The sequence below is a fragment of the Homo sapiens genome, chromosome 1 (assembly GCF_000001405.40).
Source record: "Homo sapiens chromosome 1, GRCh38.p14 Primary Assembly".
Lineage (NCBI taxonomy): Eukaryota > Metazoa > Chordata > Mammalia > Primates > Hominidae > Homo > Homo sapiens.
The window spans coordinates 89,910,638-89,932,246 of NC_000001.11; the positions used below are offsets into that span (position 1 = coordinate 89,910,638).

At 39.8% G+C, this 21,609-nt stretch overlaps 1 protein-coding gene across 13 annotated transcripts in view, besides 3 other annotated features; it reads left to right on the plus strand.

Moving 5' to 3' along the window:
* The window catches only part of LRRC8D (leucine rich repeat containing 8 VRAC subunit D), a 115,580-nt gene that overhangs the window by 89,606 nt on the left and 4,365 nt on the right, over positions 1 to 21,609 (plus strand). For 6 of the 13 annotated variants that reach the window (XM_047423953.1, XM_047423947.1, XM_047423944.1 and 3 more), the window contains one exon: positions 19,171 to 19,241. The exons of 6 other annotated variants lie outside the window; for them this stretch is intronic. The gene's annotated coding sequence lies outside the window, so the exon portion shown is untranslated. Of the gene's footprint in view, positions 1 to 899; positions 14,699 to 19,170; positions 19,242 to 21,609 lie in introns of those variants that run through there. One more of the 13 variants, XM_047423961.1, reaches the window with a different exon arrangement.
* Positions 3,164 to 3,690: an enhancer, noted in NCBI's record as "H3K4me1 hESC enhancer chr1:90379360-90379886 (GRCh37/hg19 assembly coordinates)". NCBI's record gives its function as "activates a minimal SCP1, AML or CMV promoter by ChIP-STARR-seq in naive H9 embryonic stem cells {active_cell/tissue: H9 hESC(naive)}" and the evidence as "EXISTENCE:reporter gene assay evidence [ECO:0000049][PMID:30033119]".
* Positions 3,691 to 4,217: an enhancer, noted in NCBI's record as "H3K4me1 hESC enhancer chr1:90379887-90380413 (GRCh37/hg19 assembly coordinates)". NCBI's record gives its function as "activates a minimal SCP1, AML or CMV promoter by ChIP-STARR-seq in naive H9 embryonic stem cells {active_cell/tissue: H9 hESC(naive)}" and the evidence as "EXISTENCE:reporter gene assay evidence [ECO:0000049][PMID:30033119]".
* Positions 7,910 to 8,532: an enhancer, noted in NCBI's record as "OCT4-NANOG hESC enhancer chr1:90384106-90384728 (GRCh37/hg19 assembly coordinates)". NCBI's record gives its function as "activates a minimal SCP1, AML or CMV promoter by ChIP-STARR-seq in primed H9 embryonic stem cells {active_cell/tissue: H9 hESC(primed)}" and the evidence as "EXISTENCE:reporter gene assay evidence [ECO:0000049][PMID:30033119]".

The window sequence follows — 21,609 nt, forward strand, 5'->3', positions numbered from 1 at the left end:
CAGATCTGGGTTTGAATCCTGGTCCACCTTGTATTAGCTGTGTGATCTCGGTCGAATTACTCAAACTTTCAAAACCTGTTTTCTCTCAGTAAAACTGAAGCAGTAATACCACTGCTCAGGATGGATAGGACAATTTAATAGGCTCAAGTATGTAAGTGCTTGGTTATTCAGGAGGGGTAATTTTCTTCCTGTCTTCCCCTGCCTATTAGCAGTAGCCTCAGTGTTGAATGGCAAGATACAGCCCAAGATTTTCCTGTAAATATGCCAGCAGTGCACAGCTCCTCCCCTCTCTACCTCATCTTTGTCCCTGTATACCATGGTCAAGGAAATGAGAAGTAAACTAGCCGCTGTAGGTCACTGACACTCTCCTTAGAAATGCTAAATATTTCTTTTCCCACCTTCTTTTCAGTGTAATCTGACCTGAGTTCTCTGAATGCTTGACCTTCCCAGGGAGTTTCAGCGGGTGAGAAAGCCTGACACTGCTTGGATTACTTGAATATATACAGAGCTACTCACTCATATGTCCATGCATTTTTGGGGTTTTTTTTTTTTTAGTTATATAGTTTGTGGAATTATTTTGCAAGTTACCTTTTTCCCTTTAGACTTTTCAAAAAAGAACCTTTTAAAATTTTATGACGGGATAAGCAATATGGTGGTTAGCAAGATTAATGTTTACCAGTTTGCTGAAGGGAAAATCAAACAACATATGTCCAAACTCTGTTTAAGAATTTCCATGGGATTCTGAATTCCTTAATCTCTGTAGTTTTATGAAGTCATAGCAACATGCCGCATACTTGAGTTATAGCTCCTTGTCGAAATGTGTTTGTATAATTTGACTTTATGTTCAAAATAAGAAACAAGTAGCCGTAAGAAAAACATCTTGGTACTCTCTCACCCTGCTACTTCCAACTTTTACCCCTCTACTCCTTTCCTATCCTGAAAAATACACCCTCCCATCATACCTGCCTCCCCCGCTTGCTGTTGTACCAGCCTTTTGTTTCATCCCCAGCTGAGATTTGAGAGGTGAATATTCACTTTCCCACATACCCTTGCACACGTGAGCCAGACTTTTTCACCGAAAGTGCTCAGGCCAAAGTGTCAGGTGACTCTCAGCTGCCAGATCCAGCGGTCACTTTTGCCCCTTAACGTGCGTGACTTGCTTTTGACACCTGCAATGCTGCTTACCACTCTCTTCCTGAAGGGGTTGCCTCTTTTGGCTTCTAGGCCAACATTCTCTTCATAGTTCTTGTCCTCTGACCCACCCTTCTTCCTCTCCTCTGCTGAATGCTTTTCTTCTCCCAGTTCCCTAAATGCTAGTGATCCCCTGGATTCTGCCATTGGCCTTTTTTCTCTGTGTATGCTCTCCTTGGATTATCTCATCCTGCATATGTGGATTAGTCACAAATCTGTAAATCCCAGATCTTTCTCTTAGGATTCAGGACAACCAACTACTAGATACCTTGACTTAAATTTATTATGCCACTACCAGCTATTCCAACTGAAAAATTGAATTGAGTGGAAATCATGTTGACTATAGAGTAGTTTTCTCCTTCATCTCCCTGCCTCCAGTCTTTCCTCCCTTCAATCTTGCTTCTACATTCCTGGTAGAATTCTTTTTAAAACGGAATGGTGACCTCATTGCCTCACTTGTTAAAACCCTTCAGGGGTTCCTTACTGTCCCTTTGTAATTAGGATCTTACAATATTGAACTTTCCCTGAGTTGTACCCTGGAAAATCTCCCCATCCTTCAATTTTCCAACCCTCACCCCCCACCCCCACCCTTTGGTGTTCTGGGAAACCACAAAGGACTATCTTGTTCTCCAATATTCTGAGATTAGACCCATCTCTGTCCTTCCTGACTCCCAGATGACTTCCTTGTTTACCTGCCTCTATAGAACTCCAGACCCTTTCCTTTTCTTTGAGACAGCCCTCATTAGTGTTTTATTCCAGTAGCTTGAAGAAAATCACCTCCTTAATTGTCTGGTGCATTTTGGCTCTCACAAGTCTTACCCTGTTAATTTGTTACAGTTATCATTCTATCATGTTATGTTTGTTTATAATATAATCTCTACATTGTATTATTTATAATAAATTACAATATATTGTTCATAAATTGTTAGTATAAAATACTATTTTATGTTTATACTTCCACTTTAAGTCCTTAGTGTTTATAAAATACTTGTATTTATAAACAAGGATGAATTATAAAATAAGTCTGTCCAAATCTATTTCTAGATGCTTTTAAGAGGTGTTTTTTAGTAGTTGGAGGTTTTATTAATTATGTTACCAACTAAACTGCTGAGACACCCAAATAGAATGACTTAAATAAGATAGATGTTTATTTCCTCCTTACAGAACAGTCCAGATATGAGCAGCCAGCAACTGGCAGGATAGCACTCCTGTGCTACACACGTGATTTCTAAGGTTGTCCTGCTGTCCCCATTTCTAGCCCGCAGGAAAAAAGGAAAAGGAAGGCCAAGTCAAGTAGCCTTGTCTTGTAGCCTTGTCTTTATGAAGGTTACCAGGAAATTAGTTGAACTGCTTCTTACATCCTGTTGGTCCCTCCTCATTAGGTGGCCACATCTGGCTGCAAATGAGGCTGGGAAATGTTATCTCTAGATGGGCACCTTTGCACCTAGCTAAACTGGGTGGTGATGGTGGCAGGTGTATGTTACTAAATAATGATTTTGGGGGCACACTTAGTAGTTATCATAGAAATGGAAGACTATTTTGATTAAAAAGTCAACTTGGGAGGAAATGAGTGATTAAAAAACATCTGGGCCTACCCTATAAGCTTCAGTACTTGCCATATGTAAGTAACAGGACTCAATACTTCTTTCTTTTTTCCTTCTAGAAAAGTATGCCATGCAGAGTTAAGAGTATGTAAATTTAAAAGACAGTTTGTAGCTCTTACTCTCAACCAGTGCATTTGTGGTGAAAATGGGTGGCATAGGATACATGTGCATATTACAAACAAATGCTTGCAACATGGAATTCTCTCTACACTTTTTTGTCTCATTACTTATATTTTCAGATTCAGTACAACTTGTGGTATCAGTTTATCACCATCTTCGAAATATTTTCTGAAAGATGATATATTTTCTAAGTGGAAGAATTATTCCTTTCCTGCTCTCTTGTATTCCTCACTCTCAAATGTCTTAGATAATTTGGGTCAATTTCCTGGCTGATGTCCCCTGGCCTACTAGTAATGGAATGAATACATGCTTGCCGACATGCAGATCCTCTCAGGCCATGGTACAGGGCAGCCTCTAACCATGAGCAGCTTCAGCTGTTTCCTGCTTTATGCAGTACGGATACTGTCATGTTGTACATATATTCTGATACGGAAAAGTGTGGGAAATGCTGTTTTAATGGTTTATGCCAATTTCATCTCTTTGTACTCCAAATTTTTTACTAGAAAATAATTGTAATATGTAACATCCTACCATGGTAAAAGGTCAGTCCCCTTGGTAAAGAAGTAAAAATTATCTTGCTATGTTATCCACTTTGGATGGACTGCAACTGTAAAATATCTAAGATATGATGTTGTGTCCGGAATTGGTGGGTTCTTGGTCTTACTGACTTCAAGAATGAAGGGCTGGCCAACTGCTCCGAGTGCGGGGCCCACCAAGCCCACGCCCACCCGGAACTCCAGCTGGCCCGCAAGCACAGCACGCAGCCTTGGTTCCCGCTCACGCCTCTGCCTCCACACCTCCCTGCAAGCTGAGGGAGTGGGCTCCAGCCTTGGCCAGCCCAGAAAGGGGCTCCCACAGTGCATTGGTGGGCTGAAGTGCTCCTCAAGTGCCACCAAAGTGGGAGCCCAGGCAGAGGAGGTGCCGAGAGCAAGCAAGGGCTTTGAGGACTGCCAGCACACAATGTGACTACAGATTATTTGCCTAAAAATATCTATACTTACGTTTATATGTCAGCCATACATAATGGCATCAGACCTTTCTAGCCCATGTGGCCTATAATTAGGGTGACAGTAACACTTGGTTTTCCTGGAAACGTCCCTGGTTTTTGTTTACTATTACTGCTTGTTGCTGGTCTCAGTTATCACAGTTTTTTTTTTTTTTTGCATTTATACACTTTATTGTCTTTTTAAAAATTTTTTACATATAGTGAAGATGGGGTCTTACTATGTTCCCAGGCTAGTCTCGAACTCCTGGGCTCAAGCAATCCTCCCAAAGTGCTAGGATTACAGGCGTGAGTCACTGCACGGGGCCGTGTCATTTTAGATATTAGCACTGCTTACCCTAAATAATTCTGGGCAGAATGGTGGTAGTGGTCCATGCTCCGTCTTTTCCAAACTACTTAAGATAAGTATGGGTGGATCTTTAAGCTCTTGGAGGGCAAGGACTCTATCTATCTTGCTCTACTGTGTGTGTGTGTGTGTGTGTGTGTGTGTGGTGTGTGTGTATGTGTGTGGTGTGTTCAGCACCTAGCACATTACCTAAGCTAAACATTTGAAAATGTAAATGATTATGAGCTTGATGGCTTCATGACAACACAGATTTGGTAAAGTCTATGATGGGCAAGATACTTTGTTGCCAACTACAAATCCTAAATACCTAACAGAGTGTAGCGTTTAGGAATGAATAGATTAATGATTGGTCACCTCAGTCTTATATATTTCTTAGCATTTGCAGTCTCTATCTAAAGATATTGTGGTCCATCAACACATTAGACAATCCTACAATTACAGTTGTAACATGTTGTATATAAAGTCACACAAACAAGCAACTGTTTCTTGGGTATAATGATCCGTGTTTACTGTTTTTTGATTTTATGAGGAAAAAAGATGGCATTTAATTACTCCAATAATGATCACATCGTAGATAGATAAATTCTATCACTTGTAAGATTTAGACCTTAATTTGTAACCAATGTATGATATTTTAGGCTGGAATTCCCAGTGGATGTGCCAGGAATGGCTACTGGATGGCTGAAATATTCACTCCTTTGGGCAGGGCTGGAGACCCTTTGCCTGACTGTATTCGCCCTCTTCAGTTTACCCCAGGGCATATATAAATGTCCTTTCCTCTGTGGGCCATAAAGTGAAACAGATTGGGAAACACTGTTAATGACCTCTACAACCAAAATAGCAGGTGCTTAAATAAATGCAGTGGCACCCTTGACATTTGAGTATGCAAAATAATTTTTCAAAAATGTTATCTTGGGCCATTTTTTGAGAGTTAAATAGATGTGCTTTATCAGAAAGTAAATATCCAAGATTATCAAAGTCAAAGACCATAATCTTCAAAGAAGCAATTCATCTAAAATAAGTAACAACATACTGAATTAGAAAGCATGTTCTCACATGAAGTTCACAAAAAAGTCTCACAAAAAAAGAGAGAAAGATAGTATGTTTGTTTATATTTTGGACCTTCCCACCACAGGAAGGTTTAAGCGTGTTTATGAACTGCAGGCTGCTCAATTGCGATTCAGTCCTACATCTCTACTAATGCTTTATTGCAGGGGGAAATGTTAGAAATTATAGCATCATGACAGTGGCTATCTACTAAAATTCTGCCAGTTAAGATAATTTGGGGAAAGGGAAGAAACCATTAATTCCAAGCACACCTTAGTTTGTGAAGGGCTTCCAGTTAAATGTCCTATCAGATCTGCTTTTCTAAAGATCATTTGTTATTTTCATAAGAGCTGCACAAATAGATGCTAAGTACTTAGAAACAGAATTAAATAAATCAAATGTGAATAAAACATTTGTTTGTTTTATCAAATCCTTTGAAATAGAACAAAAGTTATATTTAGCCAAATTTACCAATTTATCACTAAATCGAAAATAAGGACTTGTTTGTATTACTTCGAAAGGCCAACCCTTTAGGGGAATTTTTATTTAGCTCTAAAATGTTTTTTAATGTCAATAATGAATTCCACTGCAATAGCGATTATATTGCCAAAGGTCATTAATGATTTTTAAGTCTTCATTACGCTTTAATGAGATTGAGATTAAGATCTCTGTAATATTTGACTGATGTATAGTTTAACTCTGTGTCTCCTCATCTTTTGATTTTCTTGCTTTTCTGTTCTCTCTTTTCTTCGTTGATTTTTTTTTTCTTCTCAAAGCCTTCATGATCTTTATTTTTCCCCTGTCACCACTACATTTCAAATCCTGGGTTTTCCTCAGGGGCCGCCACCTTCCCCAAATTTTTCTGGACATTTAAATCCAATTTTGTGGAATTTTCAGGGTAGGAACATTCAATGAGCGGGCCTACCATGTGTTCAACATTAGACTGGGTGGTGTATGTACCTTGTCACAGTGGGGTTTTATTTCCATTTCATTGATAAGGAAAATGAAGGCCCAAGTTTACACAGTGATGTGAAACATTATCTGTGTTCCTATTGTACAGGTAAAAGGTGGAAATAGGGGTGAAAACTCAAGCAAGCTAACTACTTAAGCCACATTCTTATCCAGTATACTACCAACTTAAGAACTGAATTTCTAGTTTAAATTAGCTCTATAATAGAGACTCTAGGCTATTTGTGTTTAAATTATTCCATCTGTTAGATATCTTTATACAGGTGCAAACTATTTGCCCTAATTAGCCCATTAATCTATCCATTTTATTCAATACCTTTTCTACCACTCACAACCTAGTTTTAACTACCTACATATATCCTTTGCCTGGAGTCATGCAATAGCTGCTTTCCTGATCTTATATCTTCCCTCACTAATCTGTATGCTAAGCCCAGAGTAATCTTTAAAAGGGACAAATTTAATTTTCATCAACCTCCAATCTGCAGCTGAAAACACACCAGTGACTTAAAACTGCCCTTAGTTTGATGACATCAAACTATGCTTCTAAGCATCATCTCACACTGCATGTTCCTGTGACTCTTCAAGCTTTGGGCACTAGCCTTCTTTCAGTTCTCTGGTCATTCTTTGTTCCCCTCTCTCCACAGGGCCTTTGCACATTCTGGGCCACCATACTCCTATACTCTTTCTTCACACCTCCCTTCCATCACGATTTCCTCAGAAAATTCCTCCCTGATCTTGCCAGCTGGAGGAAACACCCCATTATGCACTTTCATAGTACCATGCAAGCAGGGGAAGGTCCAAGCTTCCTGGGATCTGAAATTTTTGTAATTTGAGGGGCTGTCTTTAAGAAAAATAAAATTAGAGATACAAATATGAGTATAGGGCCTTGGAAGCGGTCAGTGCGAGGATAGGGTCCTGACCCTTAACCTTTCACTGCATGGCAAATCTACCTCAGCCTGTACCTCTTGTTGGTAGCTCTTCACATTGACAATTCAATTTATATACACAACTCGGTGAATATTTCTTTCCCCTACACTATGCACTGTGTGAGAGAGGAAATATGTCTGAATTTACTCCCCAAGCTTTCTCCAGGAATTTGCATAGTGTTAACACTTGAGTATACAGTATATATTTCTTGGGTAAAGGAATAAATGAGCAAATGAATAATTAGAAGAAGACTTAGAGTTAATGCTTATAATGCCCGTATAAAATTGTCCGAATTTTTTGGAACCCAAAGCCAAGTGGAGAACATCTGGGTTCCATGGCTCATACCATTTCATCATGAAAGACAAACTTCTCAGTACCAGGTGGTAAAGATGAATGTTGATAGGTTTATTTATATAAAGCACCTTATTCCACACAATGAATAATAACCAGCAGCTGTTACTCAGTGCTTACCATGTGCTGGGCACTTGCTCAACACTTGCACATGGTATTCTGCCTTAACACATATGGCATTCACCACTAACTGCAGAGTTACTCTCAGTCAGAATTTCTGCCTCCATGGTCCATGCAATGCAGAAGGGCAGAAAACCCCATGCAGGACAAGGAAAAGGAGGCCTGAGGTGCTGGCACCTTCACTGTCTCAAGGGTCCTCCCTCTCTGGAGCTCCTTCCTCTCTGCCATTTTATATCACCTTTTATGTGCTAAAATGGTGTTTGTTTGCCACTGCCCCAGAGATGATACTGGCTTATCACCTGCCCTCTGCTTAGTTCTTGGTATTATCTCCTAGTGAGGGTATGCCCAAGCTTACCTTTGTCTTTGTTTTCCTGTAGAGTGCTTAATTATGAGTCAAACTACATGCAGGTGGTCTATCCGAATGAGTTAGCATCAGAATGACCTGTTAAAAAGAGTTCTAATATGTTGCCCAGCTGGACATTGAAAAATGCCTGTTAGAGTTGTTGATCATTTTGACTTTGGTATAATTAATAGTGACCTTTTCTCACTGCCAGTATTTGGTTCAGGTTGGGTGCCTTCTGAGCACCCTTCTGGAATGCTGTACAGTTGTGAGTGATTCATTCTGTTAACAAATCTTTATTAAGTGCCTAATCTGTGCTGTGCCCTGAGGATACGCAGATAAAAGAAACTGTCCTCCCATTAGGTGGAGGCATTGAAACCCAAGTGGAGGAAGACAGGGAGACAGAACTGACAGTTCTGCAAGTATCATGAGCAGCCATTGTCTGACTTTGCATTCATTTCTGGTCTTACTGGCTAGAATCTCCTAATAAACTACCAAGTAATCCTTTTAACTGAATAAGCTACCTATCCAAGGATTAGAATTTGTATCTGAGTGTTTTTCTCTCATACTAACTTTGAGAACTTTTTGAGGGTTAGTGAGGTAAGCACCAGAGCAAGATACTCAGGTTCTTTTCCAGCAATCTGTACCAAACCAGGAATAAGGACTGACAGGCTCCCAGCTGTCTGTCACCAGAGCAGATATTTATGGGTTTATGATCAGAGGTTCTTTTGGTCCCAAAAAGTAACTGGAAAAGAATGTGGCAACTTCCTGGGACCATGGAAAGCTGCTTGGGTGTCAGGGATATGCTATGCCAGGTATATGCTAGAAGAAATACTATTAAATGTCAGTAAACTTAAAAGGAAAATGGTCAAGTTTAATCTAAGATGTCCATTTTGCAGATGGAAAGAAGCAGGGAATTTAAAAATGCAAGCAAAGCTCCCATTACAAATCCTACTAACTGTCTCATAAACTGGATGAAGTTAGGCGATAAAGTTGAACCAAATTCTTCACTCAGTTTGGGATGACTTTCTCTGGAGCCTTTATTAAGGTCTCTTAGCTGCCAGACTGTTTTAGGGACTAATGAAACTATTGTCATTATCCCTTGCTCTTTTTATGTTTCCTCTAAGTTGCTTTCTCAGTAAGGACAGCTTTTAATTTTTTAAAAAATTATTTCCCTTTTTAATCCCCAGAACCCTATAGCAAAAACTCCATAATTATTTGTTAAAGTTTCTAGTAGAGGGTACACTAAGTGGGGTCTATAGATACTGAAGCTCTTGTGAAATTCTGCTGGCCTGAGTTCATGATTTAAGGGAATGCTGGTGATAGCTTGTAGAAGAAACTGAGATTGTATGGAATAAAATGTGGAAGCCATTGATTTTAGAGCCTCTTTTTTATTGTTCTGTGAATAAAATCTCATTTGTAAGCCCTCAAATGTGGGCCTTGACTTTTAGAATTGAGAGCTAGAAGTAAAAACAAATTCACAGCAGTGTACTAACACATTTTTGTTAATTCCTAAGATATTTTGCTTTAGACCTATTAACATATTTAGAGTTATGTTCCTTAGTTCTGAGGCAAATTTGCTCTGTGAATAGCACTACACTAGGAAGAAATCCTAAAAGAGACATTAACATGTAATTTGTGTAAAGTTCTTTTTATATTTCACAAGTTATGAATTTTCTATAGTCCTTTTAAGTGTTAAATGGATTTATAAAAAGCTTTTGGTGGTTAGCAAAATGGGTGGTTTTTGCCTAATGTGAAATCTGAGATTGATAAGTTTTATATAAGGAGTGTTTTTTTAAATCTTGAGATTTTTTATGTAAAAAAATTGTTTCAGTTATTTTTGATATCTAAACCAAAATAGCATTAGAAAGGAGCTATTTTAAAAGTTTAATTTCTTATCATAATCTTTTAAGAGGGAGTGACACCAGTGACTTACGTTTCGTTTCTATATAGAATTATATCAGCTATAGAGTATATTGTATACTTGTAATACCCATAACTATTAACACTTAAATAATACAGTAATACAGAGGCCTATTGGGAAAAAAAAAAAAAAAAAAACTAAATCATTCCTTTTTCCCCTATTGCTTCTGAAGCATTTTTTATTTTCTTTAACTGTATAAATTTTTGATAACTGATTTGGGTGTGCTGTGTGAGTATCTGTGTGTACATACACATATGTGCTTACGTGTCTGTTGAGTGTTAGGGAAGGCTTGTTGTAGAGATGGTGTAGCTCATTATAAACTTTAGTTTGTTCTCATTTGATTTATTTCAATGAAAGATTTGAGAATTTGATCCTCGTAAGTCTCTTGCATGTTCTCCATTTGCCCAGGTTGACCAAGAGGGCTAACTTTTTTCCCTGCAGAAAGAAAGTGAAAGTTGATATTTGATTGGGTAGTTAATTCATGCCTACATGAAAAATTACAGGCCAGATGTGGTGGCTCATGCCTGTAATCCCAACACTTTGGGAGGCCAAGGCGGATGAATCACTTGAGTCCAGGAGTTCAAGACCAGCCTAGGCAACATGGTGAAACCCTGTCCCTACAAAAAATACAAAAAATTAGCTGGGCTACTCGGGAGGCTGAGGTAGGAGAATCACCTGAGCCCAGGAGGTCAAGGCTGCAGTGAGCCAAGATCACGCCACTGCACTCTAGCCTGGACAACTGGAGTGAGACCCTATTTCAAAAAAAACAACAAAAAAGAAAAACTAAGTATAATTGAGTGTTATATTGATTACATTAATCAAGCCATTTGCTTCTTTATACATTAAATTCTTATTTAAATAATATTTCAAAGCCATTTGGCTTCCTTCTTTTAATAGGGGTACTAAGACCTCCTAGTGCAGATAAACTTTTAAAGGTTTTTTTTGTTTGTTTGTTTTGTTTTGTTTTGTTTTGTTTTTTGAGAGAGAGAGAGTCTTGCTCTGTTGCCCAGGTTGGAGTGCAATGGCACAATCTCAGCTCACTACAACCTCCGCCTCCCAACTTCAAGCAATTCTTCTTCCTCAGCCTCCTGAGCAGCTGGGATTCCAGGCATCTGCCACCAAGCCCGGCTAATTTTTAAATTTTTAGTAGAGTCATGGTTTCACATGTTGGTCAGGCTGGTCTTGAACTCCTGACCTCAGGTGATCTGTCCTCCTCAGCCTCCCAAAGTGCTGGGATTACAAGCGTGAGCCACTGCACCCGGCCAACTTTTAAAGTTTTAATTTAGGTGATTATATTTTTCTGTTTTAATGCTAGGGTTTCTTTTATTGCTTATAACAATCTCATGAATATATGTTTTCTAGCAGTCACCAAGCTACCCACATTTACCCTGGCTAACAAATGGGAACAAAGAGCAAGATTTGAATCCAGGTCTCTTGGGCATCGGAGTTGTGCTCTTTCTAGTATCATTTGCCACCTCTTCATATAATTTTTTTTTTGGGGGAGATGGAGTTTTGCTCTTGTTACCCAGGCCAGGGTGCAGTGGGGCGATCTTGGCTCGCTGAAACCTCCGCCTCTCAGGTTCAAGCTATGCTCGTGCTTCAGCCTCCCAAGTAGCTGGGATTACAGGTGCTCGCCACCACACCTGGCTAATTTTTTGTATTTTTACTAGAGACCGGGTTTCATCATGTTGGCCAGGCTGGTCTCGAGCTCCTGACCTCAGGTGATCCACCTGCCTTGGCCTCCCAAAGTGCTGGGATTACAGACATGAGCCACTGCGTCTGGCCAATAATTTTGACTTAAATACATCTAAAAGAATAAATAAAATTAAATGCCACATATTTATCATTAGTCATTTATTCCAGGATTACTCTATGTGCGTGGTGCTACATGCTAGTTCAAAATTCAACGAATTGGTCTAGTCATCTTCAGTAAAGACTAAGACAGACTTTTCTCCTCAATGATTCTTTTTTTCTTTTTTAAATTCAGATTCAGCAAACATCTTTGGGGGCTTACTTTGTGCCAGACCCTAAACCAGGTGTTCCTAATACGTTACACTGTGAGGTGGTTTTTATTATTAAGATTTTACCAATGAGGCATGAATGTTAGAGAGGTAATAATATAAGCAATCATTTAAAAACATACTTGAACTTAGAATGTAGTATAGCATGAATAGTTACAATAGGCTACAATCATATCTACCTTCACTATCCTATTTCTGTTGAAAGGCAGTTTAGGCAGTAAAATAAACAAAGGTTGAGATCTGGTTTCTTTATTTTAACAGCTTTATGGAGATAAAATTTACATACCATACAATTTACTCATTTGAAGTATATAATTCAGTGTTTTTTAGTGTAATCACAGAATTGTCCAACAACCATGTCTTCTGATTTTTGAACTGTTACTGATTTTTTTTCATTACTACTAACCATACATTTGAATAAGAAAACAGGATCATAATTCTAAAAGGGTTATATTCAACCCTGTTGTTTTCAGATTTAGTTTTGTTCAACCAAAGTCCAATAACTTTCCCTTTTCAGTTCTACTACAAAAAGCTTCCTTGACTTCCATGAGAAATGTTTGCTTACAGGAATGTTAAGCTGATTTTCATGTGTGCCATTGACAAGGAGAAGCTTTGGAATGTGAAATCCACTTCCGCATAATGTAATTATTTAAGTCTTTTGCAATAGATGTACTATAAAAGAGAAATCAAAGAATATATGCGATTAATACTTACTAAATATATGTTTTTCAAGTTAAAAAACAAAAATCCCTTGATAACCATTTATAGCCATTCTGAGTCCTGATTCACTAAGGAGATCAAACCTCAAGATATGGATAGGATGCAGAGAAACCAGGTGCTGATCCCTTCTCTCATTGGCTTAAGTTCACATTAGAAAGAATCGTATTGTTATGATGGCCATACTTCCCAAAGCAATATGTAGATACAGTGCTATTCCTATCAAACTACCAGTGTCATTTTTCACAGAATTAGAAAAAAACGATTCTAAAATTCATATGGAACCCAAAAAAAGCCAAATCACCAAAGCAATCCTAAACACAAAGAATAAAGCTGGAGATATCACATTATGTGACTTCAAACTATACTACAAGACTACAGTAACCAAAACAGCATGGTACTGATACAAAAGCAGACACACAGACCACTGGAACAGGACAGAGTCCACAAAATTACACACATACAACCACCTGATCTTTGTGACAAAGTCGACAGTAACAAACAATGGGGAATGGACTCCCTATTCAATAAATGGTGCTGGAATAACTGGCTAGCCTTATGCAGAAGATTGAAACTGGACCCCGTCCTTTCACCATATACAAAAACTAACTCACGATGGATTAAAGGACTTAAAGGTAAGACCTAAAACAATAAAAACTCTGAAGAAAACCTAAAAAATACTATTCTGGATGTTGGCCTTGGCAAAGAATTTATGACTAAGTCCCCAAAGGCAATTGCAACAAAAACAAAAATTGACAAGTGGGACCTAATTAAACTAAAGAGCTTCTGCACAGCAAATTAAACTGTCAACAGTAAACAGACAGCATACAGAATGGGAGAAAATATTTGCAAACTATGCATCTGACAAAGGTCTAATATCTAGAATCTATAAGGAACTTAAATCAGCAAGCAAAAAACAATCCCATTAAGAAATGGGCAAAGGACATGAACAAACACTTCTCAAAAGAAGACATACATGCAGCCAACAAATATATGAAAAAATGCTCAGCATCACTAATCATTAGAGAAATGCAAATCAAAAAGTCAGTGAGATACCCTCTCACACCAGAATGGCTATTATTAAAAAGTCAAAAAACACCAGATGCTGGCAAGGTTGCAGAGAAAAGAAAACACTTACGCACTGCTGGTGGGGATGTAAATTAGTTCAGCCACTGTGGAAAGCAGTGTGTAGACTTCTCAAAAAAGTTAAAACAGAACTATAATTCAACCCAGCAATCTCTATTGTGTATATACCCAAAGGAAAACAAATCATTCTACAAAAAAGATGTGTACTTGTATGTTCATTGCAGCACTATTCACAATAGCAAAGACATGTAATCAACCAAGATGCCCGTTGACAGTGGACTGGATTTTTTTTTTAATATGGTACATATACACCATGGAATACTATGCAACCATAGAAAAGAATATATCATGTTTTTTGCAGCAACATGGATGCAGCTGCAGGCCATTATCCTAGGCATAGTAATACAGAAACATAAAACCAAATACCACATGTTCTCACTTATAAGTGGGAGCTAAACACTGAATACACATGGATACAAAGAAGGGAACAATAGACACAGGGGCCTGCTTAATAGGGGAGAGAAAGGAGGGGAGTTGGGTTGGAAGGCTCCCTATTAGGTACTATACTCATTACCTTGATTGGGGGTCCCCAACCCCTGGGCCACGGACTGCTGCTGATTCATGGCCTGTTAGGAACCGGGTCGCACAGCACCAGGTGAGCAGTGGGAGAGTGAGCAAAGCTTCATCTGTATTTACAGCCACTCCCCATTGTTGACATTACTGCCTTAGCTCTGCCTCTTGTCAGATCAGCAGCAGCATTAGATTCTCGTAGGAGTGTGAACCCTATTGTGAACTGTGAATTCAAGGGATCTAGGTTCTGCTATCCTTGTGAGAATCTAATGTCCGATGATTTGTCACTGTCTTCCATCACTCCCAGATGGGACCGTCTAGTTGCAGGAAAAGCTCAGGGATCGCGCTGATTCCACATTATGGTGAGTTGTATAATTATTTCATTATATATTACAGTGTAATAATAACAGAAATAAAGTGCATAACAAATGTGATGCACTTGAGTTAGCCCGAAACCATCCCCCTCCCCCGTCCATGGAAAAATTGTCTTCCATGAAACCAGTCCTTGGTGCCAAAATGGTTGGGGACTGCTGACCTTGGTGATGGGATCATTCATACATCAAGCCTTAGCAACTAGTTTACCCATGTTACAAACCTGCACATGTACACCCTGAACCTAAAATAAGTCACTAGAGGATCATAATGTACTTAATATACTATATTATATAAATATGTGTTAAATATGCTTTATACACATACACACTCAGTATATATGAAAAGCTACTTTTGTTTTCAAAGTGCTTGTGCATCTTTAATTCAGTCGATGGTTGAAATACCCCCCTGGTAGGAAGGGCATATGTCATTATCCCCATTTTTGGTGGGTAAAATGGTATAACAGATGCATTAATTCAAGTCCTGTGGCTGACATTGCTGGAAAGTACTGGCTTTCTTCCTTATGGCCTGGGCACTTTCTTAAGCCTATACTTAACATCCATGCTTTGGTTTCCATACTTTGGCTTACCCGTGAGATGTGATATCTGTACAGGGGTATACCAGACCACTAACTGGGATAGCATTAAAGTTATTTGTAGTTTCTCTAACGCATCATTTATCTCATGCTATGCCTTTGCCCTTGCTATTTCTTCAGTCAAAATTGTTTTCCCTCTCCCCACCACCTCATGTCTTACCCTTCCTTCATCTCTCAGCTCAAAACCACACCTCTGTGAAGTTCTCCCAGTTACTACATGCAGACTTGGGCTTGCCCCGTTCTGTGCATCTGCTATACTTTGTGTTAACTTCATATTACTTCGTATTAAGGTGATAGCAATGCCCTTACTATTAGGTTGGTGCAACTTTTGCCATTAAAAGTAGTGGCAAAAACTGCAATCACTTTCACACCAACCTAATATGTTGTAATTGTACACTTACTGCTTATCATCCTGCATTAGACTGGGATCTCCTTGAGGGCAAGGATCTATATTAGATCATCTCTGCATTCCCCTCCATGGTGCTTGGCACGGGGCTGGTAGCTTTCTTGAATTCCTAGTGAATGTCAGGAAGGGATGGTGGTGATTACATAATGTCATTGCTTTGTCACCTCTAAGCCAAGGACAACAGTGAGGAGTTGCCTCCTTCAATAGCCAACCCTTAGCCAATAACACAGGCATTGGATGATGCGTGGTAGAGAAAAAGATTTAGAGATGAAAGATTCTGTTAGCACTCTCACTTAATTAGCTCAGAGAGGTCATTTAAGCTTTTTGAGCCTCAGGTTTCCTCATACTGTTGGGCAGTAGTAATGCCTAGACCACTGGGTTATTATGAAAATAAATAGAGATCTTGTATAGGAAAGTAGCTTGCAAACCGAAAAGCACTGCAAACATGAGAAATAAAGAAGAAAAGGTAATCTGGTAGGAAGAACATGTGCTTTGGCCTTAGGTGGGATTTTAAATCCAGTCTCTGCTACTAATTATTTAATGTCCACAACTTCCGTGAGTCTATTTCTTCCCCTCTCAAGGGTAAATAACAACACTTTGGCTGCTTAGAGTAATGTTGTGAAGTTTAAATAGGATTCAGGCAATGTTCCACTGTGTTCCACCTGTGTTCAGCTTTTTCCACCCAGAGCTTTCAGATATTGTATGTTCCTACCTCTGCACCTTCTTTTCTATGGCAGAATCAGTCCTTTGTACTCCAGAGAAAGCAGGCACCTACTCTCAGGCCAGGGAAATAAATAGTGAGGGGAGACCACCAGAGGAAGAGACAGGCTTCCCTGGCATGTAATCCCAGCCAGCCGGGATGTGCCTTGGGACGGGGCGGAGGCGCAGCCTCAATGTCATGTCACAGCACATTCCTAGGACAGCTGTTTCTGCGGCAGCTTCTTTTACCATTTCCTTTGAAACTTTTTATTGAAGTGGAAGCCTGAGTGTACAGATCACATTTTATAAATTCAACACACCCATGTAACCAGATCATTCATTCTTGTTGCTGCCTAGTATTCTATTTTGTAAATATACCACATCTTTTATTCTACAGTTGATAGGCATTTGGATAGCTTACAATTTAGAGCTAATACAAATGGTGCTGCTATGAGCATTCTCATACATGTTTTTGGATGAATATATACCCGTGTTTCTTACAGGTATATACCTAGCAGTGGAATTGCAGGGTCATAAAGTGTGCTTATGCTCAATTTTAGTAGATAATACTAAAACATTTCCCAGAATTTCCCAACATTGACACACTCACCAGAAGTATTTGCATTCCAGTTGCTCCAGCATCCCTACCAGCACTTAGTATTATCTGTCATTTTAATTTTAGGAATTCTGGTGGATTTTATAATTTCATACATTTGGAAATAGAGCCATTCTCTTAGCCCCCAAAAGCTTAAACTAAACTTTTGTACATTCATTTTCAGGAATGTGCTCTCTATAAAACTGGGAAGTTGTATCAGATGTAAAGCCCCTAGTACAGTGCTTGCCACGTGGAAGGAAAATGACAAGTGATAGCCACTATTACTGTCACCATTATCATCACCACTAAATGCCATCTGTGTTCTTCAAGGGTGAGAGTAGGGCATGGTGGATTACAAAGGTGAATAAGACATATTCTCTGCCTACAAGGAGCTCAAGATCTAGTGGAAGAGACCAAGATTAGAAACAGATTTTGTTTTTGTTTTTGAGACGGGAGTCTTGCTCTGTTTCCCAGGCTGGAGTGCCATGGCATGATCTCGCCGCACTGCAACCTCCGCCACCCGGTTTCGAGCAATTCTTCCTGCCTCAGCCTCCTGAGTAGCTGGGATTACAGGCGCCTGGCACCAAGCCCCGCTAATTTTTGTATTTTTGGTGGAGACGGGGTTTCACCATGTTGGCCAGGCTGGTCTCAAACTCCTGACCTCAGGTGATCTGCCCACCTCGGCCTCCCAAAGTGCTGGGATTATAGACGTGAGCCACCATGCCCGGCCTACAAACACATTATTATTAGACAACATGATAGCAATTTGAAGGAAAAGGTAGTGCTTGAGCTGGGACTTAATAAGGAAAAGTTCAATAGAAAGAAAAAAGAAAAATGGGCTGGAGAAAACAGCAAGGGCACAAAACTTCTGGTGGGGGGTGGCAGAGTAGACAATGTGCTGGAAGAGAGGAGCTCATCTGAGGTTGGAGTGGTCATGTGCTGTCTGTTATTCAGTGTTACCATTCTTGCGGGGAGTCTGGGGCCGGAGCTGGTGACTGTGTGTGAAGTTACAGTACTCTGTACTCTGTTGCTATGCCCACTGCCACTACCTTTGAACTTTTCTTTTCCCACTGGGAAGGTGGACAGCCTCTTCTATTTCCTGGGATCAAAGCCTGTCCTGAGTACAAGGTGCTTGAAAACTACCATTGACACTTCAACAGCTGCAAAATAACACTGGTTGCAAGAATCCAACAATGTCTCTGCTGTGTGGTCCTTTAACTGTTTATTTTTATGCTGGGACCTGGCTTAGAGTGTTCATTCTTGCATAGATCCAGGTTGCTTTGTGGTAGCAATTCAGGTTAATAAAATGCTCCTCTGCCCAATACCATCTGTAGATGTTAATAAATGTTCTCAAGGAATTTTTAGGATGCTGAAGATGATGATCAAGATCTCAAAATCATTTCATTGATTAAGTACCTACTATGTGTCAGGCATTGGATACATAGGACAAAGAAGGAAGTGGGCATAGTGCATATCTTCATTGAATTGGTAATCCAATGGGAGATCAGACAAGTAAATACAGTGTGATAAGGGCTGTGATGGGCGGAGGTACAGAGTATTGTGGGAACACATGGAAGAAACACCTCACCCATACTAGGAGATCAGGGAAGGCTTTCTGGAAAAGGCTGCAGAAACCTGATAGCCTAGTGAAGAGGAGTAGGGAGGAAGTAATCAAGGCAGAGGAAACAAAGTGTTGGAGAGGCTGAACACAAGGGAGAGAATGGCTTGTTAGAGAAACTGGCAGAAGTTACTGGCCTGGAACAGAGAGAGCCTGAAGAGTTTTTACCAAGGGACCCATGGCAAGATGGAAAAGGGATTAAAGGAGGTAAAGACTGGCAGCAGAAAGACCAGTTGTAATAATCATGGTGTAAAAGACAAATAACCAATGTCCTCAGTACACTGACTTTCAAAATTCACTTATCTCTCAATCTGCCAAGCCAGACATCCTGGCCTCCCTAGAACCAGATACAATTACAGTCACATGTCTCTTCATGGGGATACCTTCTGAGAAATGTATTGTTAGGCAATTTCATTGTTGTGTAAATATCAGAGTGTACTTACACAAAGCTAGATGGTGTGTGTGTGTATATGCATGTATGTATGTATTCATATGGAAAACCAAATTCCCAACATCATTACTGAATATCAGTCCTTTCCCCTACTTCAGGAGTCCCCGGGCCCCAGGCTGCAGACTGGTACCTGTCGAGAGCTGTTAGGAACTGGGCTTCACGGCAGTAGGTGAGCGGCGGGAGAGTGAGCATTACTGCCTGAGCTCCGTTTTGTGTCAGATCAGCAGCAGCATTAGATTCTCATAGTAGCATGAATCCTATCATGAACTGCTCATGTGAGGGATCTAGGTTGTGCACACCTTGTGAGAATCTAATGCCTGATGATCCAACCAAGATGAAACAGTTTCATCCCAAAACCATCTCTCCCCCCAACCCCCATTTCTGGAAAAATTGTCTTCTACAAAACTTGTCTGTGGTGCCAAAAAGGTTGAGGACCGCTGCCCTACTTGATCTGTAATGCCAGTGATTAGTGCTCTGTATCAGGTTTCTATGTACTTCATTATAAAATGGAGTCTCACTCTGTCACCCAGGCTGGAGTGCAGTGGTGTGATCTTGGCTCACTGCAACCTCCTCCTCCTGGGTTCAAGCAATTTTTCTGCCTCAGCCTCCCAAGTAGCTGGGATTAAAGCGTGAACCACTATGCCTGGCTAATTTTTGTATTTTTAGTAGAGATGGGGTTTCACCATATTCGCCAGGCTGGTCTCAAACTCCGCCTCAAATGATCCACCCACCTCGGCCTCCCAAAGTGCTGGGATTATAGGCATGAGCCACCATCTCGTATCTTATGGGACCACCATCATATATGCAGTCCATTGTTGACCAAAACACCATTATGCAGTTCATGACTCTTTTTAAAAAGTAAAGAAAAATCCTATTTGAAAGAACTATTACATGCAAAAAAATCTATTGTTCCTATTACTCATGCAGATGGCCCTTTAAAGCCATGGTCCCCAGGTATGACTGTTACGTTCCTTGCCAGAAATAAACCTGTGCAAGGTGTACTCTCTAGTCTCTGTATGTGAAGTAAGAGTCATTCTGTGCTTGATGCTGTGTTTTGTGCATTCTAGATAGGAACTGAAGAGCTCAAAATGACATGAGGTTGAGCTGTTTCTCATTTAGGTTAGCTTGCTGTGATTCCAGTAGCTTTTCTTCCTGCTTATCCAAGCCATTCATGAAAGCAAAACCCACACAAGATACAGGAGCTCAGAATAAAAGGAGTTCAAGTGGGCGTGTTATCTCCCACTTCCCCTACTAAGGTACAAAGTTATTTTTCTTTTTTTCACTTCCTTGGTAATTTTTTTTTTTTTTTTTTTTTTTTACAAAGACTGGTTACCAGGCATTTCATACTTAAGCCCTGAAGTCTGGGAATGTGATTTCTAACAATTTTATGTTTGGAGTTCTTAGACTTGTGTTTACCTGCTTACATAAGAGATAATTTTGCTTACAAAACTAACTACAGATGTGATCATTGCTGTAGTATTCATTGTATTTTATTAAAAAATATTATGAACCTACTCTGTGCAGTACTAGGTATGTGGAAGGGTTTCGGAAAAAAAAAAAAAAAAAAAAAGACCTGGTCCCTGCCTTCAGAAACTTAATTTAAAACAGAGCAGAATCAAAGTACTAATGCCACCTTTCTTCATTGTGTCATCCAAGGAAGACACAAGTAATCAGTCACAGCACTGTTTCCTACTGAAACCAGAATCAGCCTCAGAATCCTCCTCAACACAGCATTCCAGACAACCCATGAATAGATAATTCATCTTCCTGGTTGGGTGTGGTGGCTCACACCTGTAATCCCAGCACTTTGGGAGGCCAAGGTGGGCAGATCACAAGGTCAGGAGTTCGAGACCAGCCTGGCCAATATGGTGAAACCCTGTCTCTACTAAAAATACAAAAATTAGGTGGGTGTGGTGGTGGATGCCTGTAGTCCCAGCTACTCGGGAGGCTGAGGCAGGAGAATCGCTTGAACCAAGGAGGCAGAGGTTGCAGTGAGCTGAGATCGCGCCACTGCACTCTAGCCTGGGTGACAGAGTGAGGCTCTGTCTCAAAAATAAATAAATAAATAAAAATATTAAAAATTCATCTTCCATCCTTAATTTAAAAAAATACATGCATTCCCAAAACTCTTGGGTACTTGCCTTGATTTTTATTGCTTGGTCTTTTGCTAGTTTTTAAAGAAATAACATGATTTCTTTCTTTAAAAAAGACAAAGCAATATAAATATGGAAACCCAAGAACCTCTCAAGAAATGAAAATATGGTCATGTGGTTTTTCAAGAAGTTGAAACATTCAGTTCATGCACATAATTAGAGAAGCCCATTCCCATTACTTGCCACTAGAAACACTGTTTTTCTTGGTTACTTCCAGGATGATTGTCCTTGTCCTTTATTATTTGTATAAACTAGTTCCGTGCTATAAAGCTGTCAGCTGATAGTGAATAATAACCACATTTTCAAGTTTCCTGGCACCGGGGCTTCATTCATGGCTGCTCGGGTCACCTGCTTTGGTAGAGATCGTATGTCTTCCTGGTGCTG